General features: G+C 37.2%; 1 protein-coding gene and 1 pseudogene across 5 annotated transcripts in view; both read right to left on the bottom strand.

Annotated features, from left to right (window-relative positions):
- The window catches only part of MIB1 (MIB E3 ubiquitin protein ligase 1), a 166,038-nt gene that overhangs the window by 70,265 nt on the left and 71,638 nt on the right, over nt 1-24,135 (bottom strand). For all 5 annotated transcript variants that reach the window (XR_007066203.1, XM_047437676.1, NM_020774.4 and 2 more), the window contains exons 5-9: nt 22,520-22,586; nt 21,004-21,208; nt 9,132-9,315; nt 2,461-2,605; nt 715-848 (exon numbers count right to left, since the gene is read on the bottom strand). Coding sequence is in view for 4 of the 5 variants with exons in the window: in XM_047437676.1 (XP_047293632.1) it covers nt 715-848; nt 2,461-2,605; nt 9,132-9,315; nt 21,004-21,208; nt 22,520-22,586 (735 nt within the window). In the remaining variant the exon portion in view is untranslated. The remainder of the gene's footprint in view (nt 1-714; nt 849-2,460; nt 2,606-9,131; nt 9,316-21,003; nt 21,209-22,519; nt 22,587-24,135) is intronic.
- RN7SL233P (RNA, 7SL, cytoplasmic 233, pseudogene) lies at nt 6,530-6,806 on the bottom strand (annotated as a pseudogene).

The following is a 24,135-nucleotide window of genomic DNA, read 5'->3' as shown; positions in this document are numbered from 1 at the left end:
AAAGGTATGGCAACAAAAACCCTTACAACACAGTGAGAATGATTCAAATTGTCACTCCAACTACAACTTCTTGGCTGACACCGAACGTAATACTGGTGCCAGCAAGGTATCAATGCCAAAGCCAAAGCACAATGACTAGAATCAAAACTGCCCACTTAAAAGATAGCTTGAATGAATGGCAAAAACACAACATAACCTAGGAAGAGTTATAAAATATATGGCCTTTAATTCATCTGCCTTATAAATTGTGAAATAGTCAACTATCACTGGGGTGGAGAGGAGTTACATTAAATATTTTGAAAAGAAGGATTGAAAATTGCTTATATACACATCTGCTATGTACTCACAAAAATTAAAAATAAAAAGAAAATTGCTTATAAAATTCACTAAAATATACTTAGAAGATGTCATAAAATGATGTTTACATGAGGAAAAAAAAAATCGCTGAATTTCCCAAAAGGATACTAGTCTTTAAAAACCAAAATGTAAGTGTGTAAATCATAAAAAAGGTCATAATGTTAAATACAAAAATGTCTGGTTTTTTTAGAAATGCACACTGAAGAATGTCTGATGTCTGCTTTAAAATACTTCACAAAAACAAGAAAGAAGAAATAAATGAAGCACATCTGGCAAAATCTTAGTAATTGTTGAGGATAAGGTTCATTATACTATTCTACTTTTTGTATGCTTCAAAATAATTTTTAAAATGCTCACATCCACATCTGGTCTTTTAAGCAAATCTTCCACTTTAGCAACATCTCCATTGGCAGCAGCCTTAACTAATTCTTCATTGAGGTCACCAGATTCTTGGGTTTCAAATAATTTCTTCAGGAGTTGTGAGAGTCTTTCTGTAAAGCATCAAATAAAGCTGCTAATATAGGAGGATCTCAAACCTTAACTACTAAGAAACAAGTATTACCCAATATTTCTATAATCTTTTCCTATTTTATTCTTTCCATCATTAATGTTATTTTTCTACCCATGCAAGTTATAATCACTACTATAAAAAGCTGTATTAAATGCAAGCCCTTAAGTATTCCAAGTTTTCTCCAATTCATGTATATCAAATTATAATTTTAGAAAAAGTAGTGCATTATATACTAATAATAATTCAAGATTTAAAAGTCATCATAAGAAGTTTATGAATAAACACACTACCATGGGAGTACCACAATGATACAAACTTCCTTTCAGGTTTTAAGGACACTACAGTGACTCTCAGAGCTCAATACTACAGACTTTAAAATAATTCAACAGATTAATGGTTATGATCAAAAGCAACAATCTCTGTAATATCTGGGGACATAGTTTAGGGTCAAACCAATTTTCTTTAGGTTGAAACTGGACATCTAAGTGCTAATAACTTTCAGTAAGTGCCAAATGATTGGTTTTGACAAAAACAACAATGAACCAGGGATGAATATACCTAAACCCTTTCATAAGATATTTTTTTCTAAATAGTATCAATCAATACAGAAGCTACAAAGCTCTAACTCCTTAATTCTTGGGGTACTTATTATAAAGCAGAGAAATCACAAAATAGGGCAAGGGACAAATGACAAAGTGGGCCAAGTCCACATAATTTGAGAGTAGGCTATTAACTGTCCTTCACTCTTTTACTTTGTATGTAGTCAACCTACTATGGTGTCATTTAACCTCAAGGTAAAAATAAACACTGGATTTAAATGTTAAGCATACTAGCAAATTACAGCAGGAAAGAATAAACAAAAAGGCAGAGGAAGCAGAAAGCAGGACAAAAATAAAATTGGAAGTCACTTTATGTTTTCCTTTTGTTTCTTACTATTTATAGTTATAGTTCTATCTCCTTTTCTGGATGACAACATGTACACACAGTAACTTGTATTATGTTGTAAAATGAACTGAGTCTGTGTATACAAAGCTGGAGCACAGGAAAGAAAGACTATGTGAAAGAGTCAACTCAAGCATCCAGGATGTTCACATTTTAGCATAGTTTCTAGTCACGGTAGCATGTATAACAACTCATTAAATGGTAAGAGAAAAAATAACTGATATGTAAAAATATACAGGAAGGAAAGCCATCTGCTAGCAATAATGTTGGAAATACAGAAAAAATAAAGAAGTCTAAGAAAGTGATGGTTCTTTGGCAGAAAACAAAAGTTCTGACTAAAGAGTAGAATTCTGAATTTTAGGAATCTCAAATTTGATGTGGAAAATCCCCTGATATGCCCAAGAAAAAGCACACATTTTATGGAACTTCTCCAGGGAGTACTTCAGCCAGAATAAAGGTTGTTCAACACATTATAAAAAACAAAAATTTTTAGTGAAAGTTTAAAAGGTGGTCAACATTCAAGTAAGGCTGTGTAATCTGGGACAAAGCCAAGCACATGTACAACATTATCTGTATATGAGAACTGGGGAATTAGCAAAGGTTTTAATGTAAACCACATTACTCTTAAAGAAACACAATATAAAACATACCACCAGATGCATTGCTAATGGCTGATCCTGCAGATGCCACCTTGGAAACTGCTGCTGGATTGTATGTCCAAGATGTTCCACAAACTTCCACCTTTAAATCACTGTCTGAATAAATCTGTTGTACTCGGCCAACTTTACCTAAAGTCTTGGGGAAAAAAATAGATTCATGTTTCCAAGTCTAAAGTATATACCATAAAGTCAATCACTAGTTTTTATATGCTTAAAGTAATGATTTTACTTATTACTAATGAAAAAACTTTCAAAGGATAACCATACTGAAATGGGTTATTTGAATAAGTACAAATGTTAAAAAATATCTTTTAAAATAATAATAAAACTACTTCCACAAGAATATGAGACAAATCATGATAAAGTCTATCCTATTCATACGAGTTCATAAACATCTATTTTGATGTTCAATCCTTACTTCTGAAATCTGTAAGGTACATTTTGAGAACTTGCAACTCAAGTAGTCTAAAATCTATCATCAATATAGCCTGAAAAAGAAAATTGGATTTCTAAAAAAAACAAAAAATAAAAAAATAAACTAATTTGGCCAAGAAGGGCTCAAGCTTACATCTATGTTTAAACCCTTTTTGGAATCATCTGATTTCTGCCAGTTCCTTTCCTTCCCTTCCTCATATTCCTAAACCTGTTCATTTTCCCAAAATTTTATTCCATAGGTTTTCACTCTTCTTCGTTGAAAATTCAACCCACTTTGACAACTATCACCTTTTTTTTGAAAACACAAAATTACCGCTCACCCCCACATACACATACTAATTCTAATTTTTTAACAGCCTATTAGACATTTTCACTTGGAATTTTCCATTATCATCTCAAACTCTATGAGGCTACATTCTTTGTTTTTTCCCCTCAACTTTTTATTATGGAAAATTTCCAAGAGATACAAAAGTAGACAACAGCATACTGAATCCTCATGTACCCATCAACCATTTGTAACAATTATCAGCTCATGGCTAATCTTGTTTCCTTTATTCCCCTACCCATTCTCTCCTCCAGTATTATTTCAGTATGTACCTCCAAACAATAAGAACTCTTTTTTTGATAACATATTCTACAATGCTATTTATTATCAACTCACCCAAAGTTACAATAGTTACATATCACAAAATTCCAGTGTTCAAACTTCCAATTACCTCATAAATTATCAATTTTTTGTTTGTTTAAATCAAGATCCACATAATCAATTTTTTGTTTGTTTAAATCAAGATCCACATAAAGTCCACAAGTACATGTTTTTCTTTGCAAATTATTTGTTGAAAAAACAGTTCTTTATCTTACAAAGTTTCTTACCATTTGAATTTTACTAATTGGTGTAGTTTTAATAACTCGTCAGCCCTCTGTATATAGTCAGCAAGAACCCCTTCAAGTTGGCTCCTAGGTCCTTTTAACATGGTCCTAGAAACCAGTGACAGCTTCCTTGTTACCTGGTACGAGGCTCATTTTGTTCACCTCTTGTCAAAGAGTCAGAATTAGCCATTTCTCCAAAAAGCCTTGGCTCTTTATTGAGAAAGGCTGCTTGAAAACCATAACCTGGGCACTAAGTTTGGTTATTACTAAAATGGTCACAGTGGAGGCATTTTCATGAATACAGCTAGGAAATAGGAGCTTTTGTTTGGGACATTTTTTTGTTTTGTTTTAATTTTACTTTAAGTTCTGGGATACATGTGCAGAAAGTGCAGGTTTGTTACATAGCTATACATGTGCCATGGTGGTCTGCTGCACCTATCAACCCATCATCTAGGTTTTAGGCCCCGCATGCATTATATTAGATATTTGTCCTAATGCTCTCCCTCCCCTTGCCCCCCACCCTGACAGGCCCCAGTATGTGATGTTCCCCTCCCTGTGTCCACATGTTCTCATTGCTCAACTCCCACTTATGAGTGAGAACATGTGGTGTTTGGTTTTCTGTTCTGTGTTTGTTTGCTAAGGATGATGGCTTCCAGCTTCATCCATGTCCCTGCAAAGGACATGATCTCATTCTTTTTTTATGGCTGGAAGAAAATTTTTGCAATCTACCCATCTGACAAAGGTCTAATATCCAGAATCTACAAGGAACTTAAACAAATTTACAAGAAAAAAACAAACGACCCCATCAAAAAGTGGGCAAAAGATATGAACATACACTTCTCAAAAGAAGACATTTGTTTTGTTTTTAAAGAAGCATAAATCATACATTCAAACACTCTTTTCATTCAAATTCAAGACTACAGGGTTTTTACTTCACCTCCTCTATATTATATCTGCATCTCCTTTTACAACTCTGATAATTCTGATTCTCAAAGTCAAAGGAGTAACAGAATTATCACACAAGTACTCATTTGTTTTTTGGTACATCTAACAATCTCGGAATAACAATATCAACGCTACTACATGCAATAAGATTTCTGAAAAGTGTTAAACATTTAATTTCCATGCAGTTCTTTAGGGTCTATTCTTCCTATGAAGATATAAAGAAAAATTAACTGTGTTTAAAAAATTACTTGGAATTTTCTCTCTACATGGTTATGCTAACAGAAACACACTTAGTTTCATTTATTTCATTTCATTTTCCACTTTGAGGAGTTTCCTTTTTAAATTTAACTTCGTTTTACAATTGTATTAAATATGTATGTGATTTCAAATCAAATCTATAAAACAAGACATATTCAAAGAGGTCTCCCTTCCTTCTTTGCCCCTTATATCATCCTATTCCCTTTTTATATAGGTAACGCTTATTTGTAACTTCATAGTTTATCATTACATTGTCTGCTTTAATATAGTTTGTATTGTCCTAATAATTATATATTATATATATGTGTGTGTATATATAAAAATAAATATAAATATATATTTATATATTATGTATTATTTATATATTATATATATTATATATTTATATATTATATATAATATATATTTATATATTATATATATACATATATATTTATATATATATAAAATCTCGACTTGGTTCCCTAATATGTGCAATACTGAAATTAGTCATTCATGTGTCCTTACTCTTTCCTAATATTTTGATCTAAAATAATAATATTTAGTCCCAGTTAATACAACTAAAAGGCAAACAGCATATTAAACTTTTCATGTGCTCAATTTCCACCCCATTTTTTACAACTAAAATTTACATTGTTAGAACATATAATTGTTATATATTCTACCCTTTCCTTTACAACATTCATTTAATCTTAGTTTAACAAATCAATACATATTCCATGATCACTAGTCCTTCACTTGATGTCTCTACAGTCGTTTTGGTTGTCTGAAACTCATTATCTAGCAAATTACTTAGAAAGGACTCATGGGAACAAGAATTCTCACATATTCATAGCACAGTTATACTTGAAAGTTAGTTTGGTTACATATAAAATCTTCAGCTTATATTCTTTCCTTGAGTATCTTAAATGCGATCTCACTGTTTTCTGGCATAAAACACTGAGATGAGACTTTTTTCTTAACAGCAAAATAATTTTCTTTCCTTTAGCACCAATAACCTGTCTGGTCTTTTTTCCTGGATACTTTCTCTCATCTTGAAGATTCAGTTATTTTACCAGAATATAGCCCAGTGTTTGCTGTTCTGGGTCAGTTTTCCCAGGTATGCAATGTGCCCCTTCAAAATTTAGTTTCAAATTGTTTTCTTAATTCCAGGAAAATTTTTCTAAAATTACAAATTTTCATATTTGTTTCATTTCATTTATTTGGGTTTAGTTTTCCTTTCTACAAGGACTCTCTTGTAGAGAGAGAGAGAGAGAGAGAGAGAGAGAGGCTATTTAATGTTTACTTCTTTCTCTGAAATACTTTTCACCTTTCCTATTTTTAAAATTTTCCTGCTTTTTCACCTTCTATTTCTCTTAGCCATTATCTCTTGCATTTATTTGCTCTGCTCTGTGTTCCTTCCAGCTTAGTCTTCACTTATAAAATGACTTTTTCACTTCTTTTTAATTATGTCCTAAGTTATATCACCTAATTTCTGATTTCATTCTCTTACACTTTTTTCATTTTCTTAATTTCTTTTAGCTCATTTTTCGTTTTTTTGCAATTTTTTTTAAGAGTCAGTCTCACTACATTAGCCCAGGCTAAAGTGCAGTGGCTATTCACAGGCATGATCCCATTACTGATCAGCACGAGAGTTTTGACCTGCTCTGTTTTTGATTTTGGGCCAGTTCCCCACGCCACAGGCAACCTGGGGTTCACCCAGGAGGTCACATCCTTGCCGAACTTAGTGCAGACATCCACACTACACCCAGAGCTCTTGAAGTCAAGTGATCCTCCTGCCTCAGCCTCCTGAGTAGCTGGGACTACAGGTACACACTACTGTGCCCAGCCTTTTAGCTCATTTTAAATTATAAAAGTACAGTTTTCATCATTTTTCTGCACGTATCTTTCTGATATGCCTTTTTTTTTTTTTTTTTTTTTTTTTTTTTTTGAGACAGGGTCTCACTCTGTTGCCCAGGCTGGAGTGCAATAAGTGTGATCTCTGCTCACTGTAGCCTCAACCTCCTGGGCTCAAGAGATCCTCTCACTTCAGTCTCCCAAGTACCTGGGATTACAGGCACACACCACCACACCTGGCTAATTTTTGTATTTTTAGTAGAAACAGAGTTTCACCACGTTGTTCAGGCTGGTCTCAACTCCTTGGCTCAAGCAATCCACCCATCTTGGCCTCCCAAAGCACTGGGATTACAGACATGAGCCACCACGTCTGGCCTGATATACTTTCACTATCTGTAGAGAAGTTCTATTCCTTATTCCCTTTTTTCAATAATAACTGTGTATGGGAATTTAACCATGATCCCTTCTAAATTTTATCTGGACCTTCTCCTTCCTTTGTCCCTACTGTCTCCGTCCTACTAAATTTTGTTTCTATTCCCAGCACTTTCTCCTCAAAGTGAGGCTCTGCCTTGGAAGGGAGCTTTGGCTGGTTAGTTTTGAGTTTAAAGGCCCACACTAGTTCCATCCTTTCTGACTTTAGCATGGACCTATTTTCTCATCCCAAACTGGAGTCTTCAGGAACTCTCTCAGGTTCAGGTGCTGCTAAGACAATTGTCTACCACACTAGCCAATGAATATTTGCTAGCTGTTTTGGAGCTTTCCTGTTCTCGGATCTATCAGATGCCTCATTAATTCTCTCTGCTCCCATACGAAGAGATGCAGACTCAATAGCTGTCAGTGGTTTATCTCTACTCATTCATATTTAGGGTTCAACAGGTTACTCTGAAACCTAGTTTTGTTATAGATGTTTGTGGCTTTTTTGGTTATGCTAATCTAATTGTCTATTTTTATCAAAAAGGATTTGATAAGACACAAAATCTGTAACACCACTACTGGAATCCCAGAATTTCCCTTTAGAATTCTCTAGAGGTTTTATCTATATAGCAGTTTGAAATGGCAGAAAGACTGCTTAGGTTTTGAAATAAGACAGGTCTGCGTTCAAAATCCAGTTCAGAATCGCACCTCTGATTTCCTCATCTTTAAAATAAGGATGCTATAACATCACCCTCTTGTAATATTGTATGTATATGTGTACGGCAGCTACAAACTGTGAAGTGTCTTTGAATAAAAGCATCATAACAACAGAGATTTTATTTTTTTGTTTTGTTCACAATTATTCACTATTTTTTCTGTATTGTTCACTATTGTAGCCCTGCCTAATAGGCATATTATATGTGCTAAAATACCTACTTAGGGAATAAGGCAGAAAGGACAGAAGGGCTAATGGAGGGTCAGGACAACAGGAAGGAGGGACTAGGCAGGATGGGAGGGGATGAGATGGGGCAGGAGTTGGGGCTGGATGGGAAGAGAAGGAGGTGCTGGCCAGGAGAAGAGACCGAACAATTACAGTAGAGTGGGGGTAATAGGATACTAAGAGGGATGTGAGATGAAGTACATGGGACAGGATGGAGGCACTGAATGGGACTGGAATGGAGGGACAGGCAGGACAGGAACTGAGAGGCTGGATGAGACAGGAGATGGGAGTACGCAAGGTGGAGAACTACAGAGGAGGACACAGCAAGGTGGAGGAGGAAGGGAAACAGAAGAAGGAAGCATAAGGGATGGCAAGGTGACAGAGTAATACCAAAGGCAGGGACAGAAGGACAGAAGCAAGGGATACAGACAGGGAAAGGGAAGGATGGTTGAAGAGAGGGCAGAACAAGCAAATTTGTTTGTTGTTGATGAACATTTGACGAAAAAATGACTAAATAAAAAACTGTAGCTCTTTGGGAACAAATTCACTCTATGAAAGCACACACATTTCTGAGCTGCTCTTTCATACTCAAGTTTTAAAGAGGCAGGCCCCCACATCAGGAAAGCTGCACTGGTCCAGCACTGCTAGAGACCAGATGGGCATAGACCTATATCATTCTGGGGTTAAGTATCAGAAAAACCACTGCTGACTTGCACCACACAACATTCTCCAATAACCACTCTATCAAAAAATATTAAATATTAACTGTAACCTTTTCTGGATCTTCCCAGGCTAATTTAACTGGGATAAATTAGAAAACAAAATGCACGAGTATGTCTAGGTGCAAATGGAGAGTACAATTCTAAGAAGTTTTATGCCAATTTAATTTCTACATTAATTTACTTTTAAAAATGACATAAGTATATTGTAATTTCTAGCCCAGAATTATTCTAAACATACTTACTGGAAGCATCGCTTCAGCCCATTCTCCATGTCCTCTTTGTAGAAGTTTAATTCGTTCCAGGTCATAACAAACTTGTACAAGATCACCCACTTGAAACTGCGAGGTGCCTCCTTCTGCACCCTGAGCAGCATCTCCACTTCGGACAATGTTCGCTTTAGTGAGAACAGCAGGATTGAAGGTCCACCTACAAGAGCAAAGCTAAACCTCAAAATGGGTAGCTTTGCTTAATTTTAATACAAAATTCTTAAACAGTGAAGATCAAAAGAGTAAGGCAATCCTTTGCAATTATATCCTGAATGATTTGTGTTTATTTATATATACACAAATACATATATATTGATACATTGTTTGTTTTCTGTTTTGTTTTTTTTTTTTTTAGACAGAGTCTTGCTCTGTCACCCAGGCTGGAGTGCAGTGGCATGATCTCGGCTCACTGCATGATTCTCCTGCCTCAGCCTCCCAAGTAGCTGGGATTACAGGCGCATGCCACTGTGCCCAGCTAATTTTTGTATTTTTAGTAGAGACAGGATTTCACCATGTTAGCCTGGCTGGTCTCGAACTCCTGAGCTCAAGTGATCTGCCTGCCTCAGCCTCCCAAAGTGCTGGGATTACAGGTGTGAACCACCGCCCCAGCACCTCCTTTTTATAATTTTAATATACAAATTTGGGGAAAGAGTCATCCATAATCTTACCACCTTAATACAAGTGTAAATACTTTGGTATACGTTTGTCTATTCTCCCCTGCATGTTTTCAAAACTGTTATAAAAGTAATATACAATTATTGTTAAAAATTCAAACATTTCAGAAACATGTAAAGTAAAAGTTCCATTTCACACAAACACGCTGGATCACCATTCCCATCCCACTAGAAACCACTATTAATATTCTACTCTGTGTCCTTACAGACATTCTATCAATACACTGAATGACATTCATAATCTAGTTGTTTTCCATAAATGGGAATATTATATACATATATATGTATACGCAGACATAGGGACACATACATATATTTTGTGACTTTTTTTTCAAAGAATGCATCTTGGAAGATTTATTTTTTAGTGTCACAGATACAGACCTATCTTAAATAGGTCTAAGAATACAGACCTAAATTGAATAGACCTTAATTCAATTTAACTGCTACAGAGTATTCCATCACTTGGATATACACTAATGTACTTAACTATTCTCCTATTGACTAGCATTTAAAGTGCTTCCAAATTGTCACCAATATGTACAGTACTGTAAAGACCATTCCTGCGTATACATCTTTGTGCACATGAGGTCGGTATTTCAGTAGAGATTCTTAAAAGAACTATCTGATCAAAGCATACATTTGTTTACAATTCCAATAGAGCCAAACTGCTGTACAATGAGTGTACCATTTCCCCACACCATTGCCAATTTAATGGATAAAAATATTATCTAGTTTTAATTTTCCATGCATGGATATTTACCATAATTGTAATCATTGTAGCAAACTAATTTGAATGCTGATGTCTTTATACAGGCATTTTCCACGCTGCTATCATCTTCAAAATAATCGTTTTAATGACTACTTAATATTCCATCAAATAGATGTACCACAATTGATAACAGAACACCTACCCTAATTCCACACTGAACTCCAAGAGTAAAGGTTCCCTTGTCAAGTAAGTTTCTACAATATTGGCATATTATATCCTCTTCTCCTTAGTCCAAATGGTTATTAGCATATAAAAGCCTGTTTACTAACTTTCTGTAACCACACAAGTAAACTGTTCTTTGTTTGCTTTATTTTTTCTTTTTTTGATACAGAGTCTCACTCTGTTACCCAGGTTCAAGCAATTCTCCTGCCTCAGTCTCCCAAGTAGCTGGGATTACAGGCATGCACCACAACGCTCAGCTAATTTTTGTATTTTTAGTAGAGGCAGGGTTTCGCTACGTTGGCCAGCCTGTTCTCGAACTCCTGACCTCGGGTCAGGAATTTTAATATCAGTGTGTCAATTTCTGCAAAAAAAAGTACCAGGATTTTGATAGGGATTACACTTAATCGGAAGATTAGTTTGGGAAATACTGCCATCTATTGTGGGTTGAATTATGCCCCCTTCCAAAATATGCTGAAGTCCTAATCCAGGTATCTGTTAATGTTACCTTATTTGTAAACAGGGACTTTACATATGTAATCAAGTTAAAGTGAGGTCATACTGGATTAGGGTAGGCCCTAAATTCAATGTTTAGTGTCCTTATAAGAGAGTCATGTACCGACACCCACCAAGAAACACAGACTCACAGGGAAAAAGGTCATGTGAAGACAGTGGCAGAGAATATAGAGTGATGCATCTACAAGCCAAGGAACAAAGATTGCTGGGAACCACCAGAAGCTGGGAGAAAGGCATACAACAGATTCTCCCTGAAAGTCTCCAGAACAAACCAATCTTGCCAACACCCAGACTCTGGACTTCTAGCCTCTGATACTGTGAAAGAATAAATCTCTGTTAAGCCACCCAGTCTATGGTAATTTGTTATAGCAGCCCTAGGAAACTAATATACCATCTAAACAATATTAAACCTGATCTAAGAACATGGAATGTTTTGTCATTTATTTAGGTCTTCTTTAATTTCTTTCAACAATGTTCAGTAGTTTTCACTGTACAAGTCTTGCATCTCCTTGGTTAAATTTATTCTTAAGTATTTTACTCTTTTTGATGCCATTATAAATGAAATTGTTTTAATTTCATTTTCATATTGTTCATTGTTAGTGTACAGAAAGACAACTGATGTTCCTATATCAATCTTGGTTCCTGCAATCTTGCTGAACTCATTTATTAGCTACAATAGCTTTTGTGGATTCTTTGGGTTTTTCTATACATGGTATCAGGTCATCTGTAAGCAAAGTTAGTTTCACATCTTCTTTTTCTTTTACTTCTTCCTTTTATTTCTTTTTCTTACCTAGTTGCTATGACTAGAACCTCTGGTATAATGTTGAACAGAAGTAATAAAGTGGACATTCTTGTCTTGTTTCTGATGTTACCGGGTAAGTATTCAGTCTTTCATCATTAAGGATGATGTTAGCTGTGGTTTTTCATAGATGTCCTTTATCAAGCCAAAGAAGTTCCCTTCTGGTCCCAGTTTGTTTAGTGTTTTTATCACGAAAGGGTGTTGGATTTTGTCAAGTACTTTTTCTGCATCTACTGATATGATCATGTATGCTCGTAAGATTTGAATACAATCAGGCCTAATGCTATACCTAGGTAAGCAACTTAATGTTAACTTTTCTTATTCTATATAATATCACTTCCCCAAAGAACCTCAGGGAATTAGTTTCTTTATGTACATGTCAGTAAGACAATTATTCAATTTATTGATTTTTCTTTAAAATACTATAAACATACTAAAGTGGATTAGATATGTTTTGGCCCAAATAAAATTAAAAAGACATCCCTAGCCTCCAAGAAACTTGCAATCTAGAAATCAAATGAATTTTAATAGGTAAGAGTAAACCTAAATAGATGAAGAGTATATGCATATATAATACTATGGAGAGTAAAAGGAGAGAGGAGGTTCGCAAATCATATAAACTCAGTATTTATAGGATGTAGAGGAATTAATCCAGGTAACAAGGGAGAAAAAGAGGAGCAGGCATTTTACTTAAAGGGAGTAGTATGTTAAAAGGTACATAAGTGAGGAAGTGCATACAATTTTATACCGCTGATAAGGATTAGTATATGTGTACATATCTGTGGCAACGCCAAAATCTCAGAGTAGAAACAATCTGGCTTCACTCTCCCCAACAGAAAATCGAAAAAAAAAAAAAAAATACCCAGCACCAAGATTATCACCAGCAATATCCCAGAACTCAAGTCTGAAGCTGAAATGATCCCTGGGGCCAGAGACATGAAAAACGCCAAGCAGATAATAAAAGAAACGAATTTCTGTATCTGCAACATCCTTCCCCCTATCTACCAGGCACAAAGCACAGAAAATTCCCCCAGGAATCACAGTCTCTACACTGGAAAAAGTGAGATCAAGGCAGAGAGCCAGCTTCCTACCAACTTGGGTTCCCTTGCAGGAAAATCATTCCTGCCTCAATCCACAGGAAGCCTTATGAGTACCTGCAGGAAGAAAAATCCCTAAGGGTAGCTACAGTCAAAGAGAAGAGACAGGACTAGCAAACCTAGCCCTTGAAACTCTGCTCTTTATCTTAGCCAAGAGAGACATCAAATCAGAGTGGCTGTTCAGCAGCACTATACTGCAGGAGGCACACATTCCATGGGTCTTCTGGCCATAAATCCCTAACCAGACTTCCCACATAGCCAAGGTACCACTTTTGGGATCCACCCCCACTCCTTCCCGCCCAATTCAGGATGAACAGAGTTCCAAACATTTGTGACACCCAAGGCAAACTTGGGCTTAAGGCACCATTTAGCTCTGAAAAGGAGGCAGGCAGCAATCTATAATTTAGGGGATTCAACAGGCAATTGCAAAGAACTTCTAAGCAAGTATGCCCTAGAAAGACCAAAATAAGCAGACAGCAAAAACTGGGAAAAAAAAAAAAAATGATCTTTCAATACGAAGCCATATAAGGCAGATAAGAAAATAAACAGGAAGCCAATGGACAAAGCAAAGTGCCAATGACCAACCCTAATAAGGCAGCAATATGTAAGCTCTCAGTTAAAGAATTCAAAATAGCAGTTCTAAAGAAACTCAGTTGAACTCTAAGATAACACAGAAAACCAATTCAGGAATTTATCAGAGAAATTTAACAGAGATGGAAATGATGTTTTCAAAATCAAACAAAAATCCTAGAACTGAGAAATGTATCTGTTGAAATGAAAAATGCATCAGAGGCTCTCAACAGCAAAATTAAGCAGTGGAAAAAAATAAAAACAGTGGGACTGGATATAAGCTATTTGAAAATACACAGAAGAGAAAAAAGAATGAAAAGGAATGGAGAAGGCCTACAAGATATAGAGACTAACTTCAAAAAAGCAAAACTGAGTCAATGGCATTCAAGAGAGAGTTGAGAAAGAGCAAGGGGTAAGAAGCTTATTCAAATTACAACAGAAAACTTTCCAAATCTAGAGAAAGATAAAAGCAAAAACTATAAAAAAATAAATATCAATGTACAGCAAGGTCAGAAATCACCAAACAAATTAAATCCAAATAATAACCAAATAGAGCTGGGCGCAGCGGCTCACGCCTGTAATCCCAGCACTTTGGGAGGCCGAGGCGGGCGGATCACAAGGTCAGGAGATTGAGACCATCTTCGCTAACATGGTGAAACCTCGTCTCTACTAAAAATACAAAAAAATTAGCCAGGTGTCGTGGCAGGCGCCTGTAGTCCCAGCTACTCGGGAGGCTGAGGCAGGAGAATGGTGTGAACCCAGGAGGCGGAGCTTGCAGTGAGCCGAGATCGTGCCACTGCACTCCAGCCTGGGTGACAGAGAGAGACTCTGTCTCAAAAAAAAAACAGAAAAACAAATAGACTACCCCAAGACATATACTAATCAAACTCTCAAAGGTCAAAGACAAAGTAAGGATCCAAAAATAAGCAATAGAAGAGAAGGAAATAACACATAAAAGAGCACCAATTCATCTAGCAACAGACCTTTCAGCAGAAACCATACAGGACAGGAGAGAGCAAGATGACATATTCAAAATGCTAAAAGAAAAAAACTGGTAATTAAGAATACTGTACCAACCAAAACTTTCCTTCAAACATGGAGGGGAGATAAAACCTTTCCCAGATGAACAAAAGCTGAGGAAATTCATCACCATCATTTCTTATAAGAAATAGTAAAGGGAGTTCATCAATCTAAAAGAAAAGGATAGTAATATGCAGAAAGAAAACATGTGAAGATACAAAATTCCCTGGTAAAAGTAATTACACAGACAGATTCAGAATACTCTTAATACTACAATTACGTGTAATCACCTCATAACTCTAGCATAAGACTAAAAGACAAACTTATCAAAAAAATAACTACGGCAAACAGTTAAGAGATAGGCAATATCAAAAGATGTACACAGAGACAACAAGTCACAATGTGGAGGAGTTAAAAAGTGTAGAGTCTTTTAGTTTTCCTTTGTTTGATTTTCTTTGTAATCAAAGTTAAGACGTCACCTGTTTAAAATAACTTGTTATATCTATAATATAGGGTCCAGCCCTACTGGGCCTGTGGGTTTTTTTCTTCGTGGGCGGAGACGAGAGATCATAGAAATAAAAACACAAGACAGAGAGATAGAAGAAAAGACAGCTGGGCTTGGGGTACCACTACCACCAAGACGCGGAGACCGGTAGCGGCCCCAAATGCCTGGCCACGCTGTTATTTATTGTATACAAGGCAAGGGGGCAGGGTAAGGAGTGTGAGTCGTCTCCAATGATAGGTAAGGTCACACAAGTCACATGTCCACCGGGTCACACGAGTCATGTGTCCACCAGACAGGGAGCCCTTCCCTATTTTGGTAGCCGAGGCAGAAAGAGAGAGAGGACAGCTTACATCATTATTTCTTCTACGCATTTTTCGGAGAGATCAACAGCTTTAATACTTTCACTAATTCTACTACTGCTATCTAGAAGACGGAGCCAGGTGTACAGGGCGAAACATGAAAGTGGACCAGGAACGTGACCACTGAAGCACACCATCACGGGGAGAGGTTTAGGCCTCCGGATGGCTGCGGGCGGGCCTGGCTGATGTCAGATCTTCCACAAGAGGTGGTGGAGCAGAGTCTTCTCTAACTCCTCCGGGGAAAGGGAGACTCCCTTTCCCGGTCTGCTAAGTAACAGGTGCCTTCCCAGGCACTGGCGTTACCACTAGACCAACGAGCCCTCTAGTGGCCCTGTCTGGGCGTGACAGAGGGCTCACACTCTTCTCTTCTGGTCACTTCTCACCATGTCCCTTCAGCTCCTATATCTGTATAGCCTGGTCTTTCCTAGGTTACAATTGTAGAACAAAGATTATTACAATACTGGAATAAAGAGTAATGCTACAAATTAATGATTAATAATATTCATATATAATCAAATCTATACTCCATTTCTAGTATAACTATTATAACTATTCTTATTCTATATATTTTCTTTATTATACTGGAACAGCTTGTGCCCTCGGTCTCTTGCCTTGGCAACTAGGTGGCTTGCCGTCCACATATAAGATGTTTTTTGTAAGCTTCATGGTAACCAAGAAGAAAAAACGTATAGTAGATAAACTGAAAATAAGCAACACAGGGCTGGGCGCGGTGGCTCACACCTGTAATCCCAGCACTTTGGGAGGCCGAGGAGGGCGGATTACGAGGTCAGGAGATCCAGACCAGCCTGGCCAACATGGTGAAACCCCCTCTCTACTAAAAATACAAAAACTAGCTGGGTGTGGTGGCACGCGCCTGTAGTCCCAGCTACGCGGGAGGCTGAGGCAGGAGAATTGTCTGAACCAGGGAGTCGGAGGTCACAGTGAGCCGAGATCACACCACTGCACTCCAGCCTGGTGACATAGCGAGACTCCGTATCAAAAAAAAAAAAAAAAAGCAACACAGGCTGGGTGCAGTGGCTCACACCTGTAACCCCAATATTGTGGGAGGGTGAGGCAGGAGGATTGCCTGAGGCAAAGAGTTCAAGACCAGCCTGGGCAACATCGTAAGACCCCATCTCTACAAAAAAAATTTTTAATGACCATGGTGGTGTGCACCTGTAGTTCCAGCCACTTGGAAGGCTAAAGTGGAAGGACTGCTTGAAGCCAGGAGTTCAAGGCTTCAGTGAGCCATGATCATGTCACTGCACTACAGCCTGAATGACAGAGTGAGACCTTGTCTCAAAAACAAAAAATGATAAAATTTATTTAAAAAACACATTAAAACGTACTACCAAAGAAAATCACCTAACCACAAAGGAAGAGGGCAAGAAAAAAAAAAGGAAGAGACGAGTTACAAAACAACCAAATAACAAGTAACAAAAATAGCAGTAGTAAATCTTTACCTATCAATAACAACAATGAATGTAAATGAACTAATTCTCCAACTAGAAGACATAGAGTGAGGCCGGGCACAGCGGCTCACACCTGTAATCCCAGTACTTTGGGAGGCTGAGGCGGGAGGACCACCTGAGGTCAGGAGTTAGAGACCAGCCTGACTAATATGGTGAAACCCCATCTCTACTAAAAATACAAAAATTAGCTGGGCTTGGTGGAGGGCACCTGTAGTCCCAGCTACTCGGAAGGCTGAGACAGGAGAATTGCTTGAACCCGGGAGGCGGAGGTTGCAGTGAGCCAATATCGTCCCACTGCACTCCAGCCTGGGCGACAGAGTAAGATTCCATCTCAAGAAAAAAAAAAAAAGGCATAGAGTGGCTGAATGGGTAAAAGAAAATTGTTTAAATGACCCAACCCTGTGCTCCCTACAAGAAATTCATTTCACCTATAAAGACACATGCAGACTGAAAGTGAAGGGATGGAAAAAGATATTGCACACAAATGGAAACCAAAAAAGAGCAGGAATAATTATACTTTTATATCAGATAAAATAGACTTTAAGTTAAAGACTGTAAAAACAGACAAAAGTCACTGTATAATAATAAAGTGGTCAATTCAGCAAAAGGATATAACAATTATATATGCACTCAACACTGGAGCAACCAAATATAAAACACAAACATCAATAGATCTAAAGGGAAAGATACACTGCAATATCTTTAACAGTAGGGGACATTTCAACATTTAACTTTCAGTAATGAACAGATCATCAACTAGAGAGAAAATCAACAAAGAAACATCAAAGTTAAACTACAATCCAAACCAAATATACATAATTGACACTTACAGAATACTTCATCCAACTGCCATAGAATACACACTGTTCTCATCAGCACGAGGAACATTCTCCAAAAGAGACCACATATTGGGCCACAAAACAAGTCTCACTAAATTCAAAAAAGTTGAAATGGTATAAAGTATCTTTTCTGACCACAATGCAATAACACTAGAAAGAAATTAAACATTATCCTGAACAATGAAAGCGTCAATAAAGAAATTAAGAAGGAAATTTTAAAATTTCTTGAAACAAATGAAAATGGAAACACAACATATCAAAATCCATGAAATACAGAAAAAGCAGTAGTAAGAGGGATATCTATAGCAATAAACACCTGATCAATAATTTAACGCCAGATGCAGTGGTTCATGCCTATAATCCCAGTACTTTGGGAGGCCAAGGTGGGCGGATCACGGGAGGTCAGGAGTTCAAGACCAGCCTGACCAACATGGAGAAACCCCATCTCTACTAAAAATACAAAATTAGCTGGGCGTGGTGGCACATGACTGTAATCCCAGCTACTCGGGAAGGCTGAGGCAGGAGAACCGTTTGAACCCAGAAGGCAGAGGTTGCAGTGAGCTGAGATCGCGCCATTGCACTCCAGCCTGGGCAACAAGAGCGAAACTTCGTCTCAAAAAAATAATAATAATAATTTAAAAAGTAGGAAGATTTCAAATAACCTAACAATACAGCTCAAGGAACTAGAAAAGCAAAAACAAAGCAAATCCAATAGTAGAAGGAAGAAGTAATAAAGATCAGCAGAAATAAATGAAATTGAGACAATAAAAAGAGAAAATATCAACAAAATGAAAAGCTGGATTTTTCAAAAGATAAACAAAATCAACAAATCTTTAGGTAGACCAACTAAGATAAAACCAGAAGACCCAAATAAAATCAGAAACAAAAATGGGGACATAAATGATACCACAGAAATGTAAAGGATCATGACAGAATATCATGAACATCTATATACCAACAAATTGAAAAATCTAGAAGAAATAGATAAATTATTGGACATAAACAACCTACCAAGATTGAGACATGAAGAAGTATCAACCCTGGCCAGGGGCGGTGGCTCACCTGTAATCTCAGCACTTTGGGAGGCCAAGGTGGGCGGATCACTTGAGGTCAGGGGTTCAAGATCAGCCTGGCCAACATGGTGAAACCCCATCTCTATTAAAAAATACAAAATTTAGCTGGGTGTGGTGGCACATGCCCATAATCCCAGCTACTTGGGAGGCTGAGGCAAGAGAATCATTTGAACCTGGGAGACGGAGGTTGCAATGAGCTGACATCGTGCCACTCCAGCCTGGGTGACAGAGGGAGACCCCATCTCAAAAAATAATAATAATAATTTTATATATATATATATATATATATATATATATATATATATATATATATATAACTTGAACAGACCAATAATGAGTAACAAGATCAAAGAAGTAATAAAAATATCTCCCATCAGAGAAAAGCCCCAGGGCCTGATGGTTTCAATGCCAGATTCTACCAAACATTTAAAGAACAAATATCAATCCTCTCAAACTACTGTTGCTTTTACTGGCCAGTCGAGGTGGCTCAAGCCCCCAGCACTTTGGGAGGTCAAAGTGGGAGGATCACTTGAGGCCAGGGGTTCAGCGCCAGCCTGGGCAATATGGCAAGACCCTATCTCTACTATAAAAAAAGTTTTTAATTTAAATTTTTAAAAAGAGAAAAAAAGAAAATGGCTTTTCGGATGCTGACAAGAACACACGAAAAGGGGAACACCTGTAGACTGTTGGTGGGACTTTAAATTAGTACAGCCACTATGAGAAACAGTATGGAGGTTCCTCAAAAAACTAAAAACAGAACTACCATATGATCCAGTAATCCCATTGCTGGGTGTATATATACCCAGAAGAAAGAATATCAGTATGTCAAAGAGAGATTTGTACTCCCATGTTTACTGCAGCACTATCCACAATAGCCAAGACATGAAATCAACCTAAGTGTTCATAAATAGATTGAAAGGATAAAGAAAATGTGGGCCGGGTATGGTGGCTCATTCCTGTAATCCCAACACTTTGGGAGGCCAGGGGAGAAACATCACTTGAGACCAGGAGTTCAGGACCTGCATGGGCAATACAATGAGACCCCTTCTCTAAAAATAGAATAGAACAGGAGGTACATATACCCAAAGGAGTATTACTCAGCTATAAAAAGAATGAAATCCTGTCATCTGCAGCAACATGAATGGAACTGGAGGTCATTATGTTAAGTGAAATAAGCCAGACACAGAAAGACAAATACCACATGTTCTCACTCATATGAGGAGATGTAAAATGTGGATCTCATGGAGATAGAAAGTTGATTGGTGGTTACCAGAGGCTGGGAACAGTAGGAGAAAGGGGGGGATGAGTGAGATGGTAAATGCGTACAAGACTACAGCTAGATACGGGGAAAAAAATCTAATGTTTGATAGTACAGTTGGGCGACTATAGTTAACAACTTGTATAGTTCAGAACAGCTGGGGAGAGGAACTGGAATGTTCCCAATGTAAAGAAGGGGTGATGTTAATACTGATGGTTGCCCCAATTGCCTGTTTGATCATTATACATTGTATGCATGGATGAAAATATCACATGTATCCCAAAATATGTACACCTCTTGTGTATCAATAAAAACAAAAAATAAGAGATGACCCTGGAGATATGCACCAAAGGAGTTTTAATGTAAAACCCTTCCTATTCAGGGTAGACTGATATAGTCCAATACGAACACAGAACTTTTAAGCTGTATTCAGACCTAATAGTGATATAATGTATTCTCCTCTTGAAGGAAAAATAGTGTACAGAACACTGTATCATAAACATCCTCATATAAATTCACATACACACACAAGACACACACACACACACACACACACACACACGTAATTCTTATCATTTGTTTCTCTCCACCTTACCAATATATATTCTGGATTTTTACTTACCATCTAAAAGCTAGCTTTAATGAGTATTTGGTTGTATCACTTTATTTGCTTTCTCTAAGACTTTTCTCTATATTAGTTTTATTTGTCATTGTCAAAAATTGAGAGATATCACCCACCTATTGCCACTTGGATACTGTACTACAATGTCATGATCTTCATCAATGCCACAAACAGTTCCAGTTGTAGTTAAAGTCTCAAACATTCCATCAGTCCATCCTCCATGACCATGCTGCAAAGACTGTACAATTTCGAGGTCGAGATCTATATTTACCAGGTCACCAATCTGCAATCCACCAGGATTCCTGTTGCCATTCTGCTCACCTGTAATTTCAGAGGCAATTGAATAAAGGGAGAAAAAAACCTCACAACAACAGGCAGCTGCATTATCTTTAAATAACATGTAGATATTTTAGTTTCAGGTACCATCTAGTTTTAAAAGGTCTTGAGAATTCCCTATAAGTATAAAATTTTAGAACTAGAAAGCTTTTTTTAAAAAAAGAAAAAAGCCAAACAGACTCAAAAATTGAAATAATATGAGTTATAACAAAGACTGAGTAAAAGTAGAGTCTATAAAAGACTATTCAACCTTGTATCAGAACACAAAGTTCCAGGTGTTGAAAATACTCACTTTTATGCCTGGATAACTTACTATCACTGCATTAGAACCACAATAACTAACTAGAGAATATGAATGAAAGCCCTGGAATTATTTTTTCCATTAAGTGCTTAGTACTATCTTATTTTAACAAATGGTTCCTGTGATTCTTGCCCTAAAGAGCTTTTTAAAATATGTCAAAGCTTATTCCCTAGATTATTTTCAAAAGCTAGTTCTGAGATGAATTCATGATCATGAAACACTATACTGAGATCCAAAATATGCATGTTGATTTTGCATTTTTCTTATGAAAGCAAAACACAAAACAAGAAAGCTTGTTTTGTGAAAGCAAGATAGATGAGCTCATTAAAAAATGTAAATTTTTTTATGCATTCTCCTTTTTTAAAAAAAAATTAAGGTATACTGCAAAAAAAACAGCACTTTTTGCGACAAAGGCAAGTCAAATGATTTGGAAGGAGAAACACAGTTCACATGAGAAAGAAAACCATTCAGAGAATAAAGATCAGGAGAGTGTGGTAAATGTTCATCCAGGCAACAATAAATCTACAAAATGAAGGTAGTTTTGGTTTTCTTGTTCCCTTTTTTTTATTTTAATGATACATGAAATTACATATATTATCTTAATCTTGGAGCTGTACTTAGGAAGACAATTTGACAAAAATTCTAAGGAATTTTTAAGCACAAAAGTGTCAAATCCTATTCTCAATAGTGTATAACATACAATTGTTGTAATCTAATGCAAAATTTTTCAACAATATAATTTGCAGTTAAAACATAAAAGTTTCAAATGTATATTATGACATAAATGGCCAATGAATTCTCAAGACATGACAACTCTGAGTCCAAATAAAGCATAATAAAAGAAAAAATACTTTAAGACCAAAGGAAAGCCAAAAAATTTTTTCTCTAAGTAACTTTAGTGGTAATTAACTTTTCTAACATCCAATTTAAGCATTTTACTGATTCCACGAACTCTGACCCATTATTTAGTAATACTCTCTAATCTTCTCACTCACCTAGCACAGGGCAGTGATCTCTGTAGAAAGAACCTCCCTTGGCATCCTGGACACATTTCAGATCAGACTAAGAAGAAAAGAAACCAGAAAAATCACCCATGAAACTTCAAATATGGCTCAGTATCTGAAACAGGCAAGAATATTCATTCAGAACATACCCAAAACAGAAATCAAGAACAGTCTAGGTCAACAATCACACTAAACACTGCTTTCAAAAGTACTTGTAAAAACTAGAAACCTGATCTTCAGATAGGTCATATTTTATTTACTTTCAGCATTCTTTTAAAGCTCAAAATTAGAATGTCTGAATCTGGCTGTACACGTTGGCTCACGCCTGTAATCCTAGGACTTTGGGAGGCCAAGATGGGCGGATCACTTGAGGTCAGGAGTTCAAAACCAGCCTGGCCAACATGGTGAAACCCCGTCTCCACTAAAAATACAAAAAAAATTAGCCATGTGTGCTGCTGGACACCTGTAATCCCAGATGCTCAGGAGGTGGAGGCAGGAGAATCGCTTGAACCCGGGAGGCAGAGGTTGCAGTGAGCTGAGGTCACGCCACTGCACTCCAGCCCGGGCAACAGAGCAAGGAGACTCTGTCTCAAAAAATAAATAAATAAAATAAAATGTCTGAATCTTATTACATTAGACTAAAATGCTTATAATTAATAAATAATTATAATAGTTTGAAAAACACATGTTAAAAAAGGACAACAAATATCTATTATTGGAAATGTGCACAGCACATTCTTTTTTGTGTGTGTGTGACAGAGTCTTGCTCTGTTGCCCAGGCTGGAGTAAAGTGACTCACTGCAACCTCCGCCTCCTGGGTTCAAGCGATTCTCATGCCTCAGTCACCTGAGCAACTGGGTATTACAGGCATGCACCACCACGCCTGGCTAATTTTTGCATTTTTAGTACAGACAGGGTTTCACCACTTTGGCCAGGCTGGTCTCAAACTCCTGGTTTCAAGTAATCCACCCACCTCAGCCTCCCAAAGTGCTGGGATTACTGGCATAAGCCACCACGCCGGGCCAGCACATTCCATTTTAAAGATACTTTTACCAAAAACAAACCAAAACCTGGAAATTATTCAAAACTAATAGCCAATACAAAGTAAAAAATAACAAAACCAAATACAGTCTTTTGATTCCTTGTCCAGCTAATTTTCCTATTTACATCAATTTTTTTTTTTTGAGATGGAGTCTCGCTCTGTCACCCAGGCTGGAGTGCAGTGGCGGGATCTCGGCTCACTGCAACCTCCACCTCCTGGGTTCAAGCAATTCTCCTGCCTCTGCCTCCCCAGTAGCTGGGAATACAGGCATATGCCACCACACCCAACTAATATTTGTATTTTTACGAGGTTTCACCATGCTGGCCAGGCTGGTCTCGAACGCCTGACCTCAAGTGACCTGCCCACTTCAGCCTCCCAAAGTGCTGGGATTACAAGCGTGAGCCACTGCACCCGGCCTTACATCAACTTTAGTCCTTACTTCGCCATAACCTGGTTAACTAACATTCCTTCCCACTTATCTTTTACAAGGAAACAAATTACTAAGTATCTGAATGGGGGAGGTAGCTGTGGTATAATTAAAAGTACAGAAAATGTGGGCTTAGAG

This window comes from Homo sapiens, chromosome 18 (genome assembly GCF_000001405.40).
Source record: "Homo sapiens chromosome 18, GRCh38.p14 Primary Assembly".
Classification (NCBI taxonomy): domain Eukaryota; kingdom Metazoa; phylum Chordata; class Mammalia; order Primates; family Hominidae; genus Homo; species Homo sapiens.
Note: the sequence above shows the minus strand (reverse complement) of the source record. Positions and strands in the feature narration are given on the sequence as shown.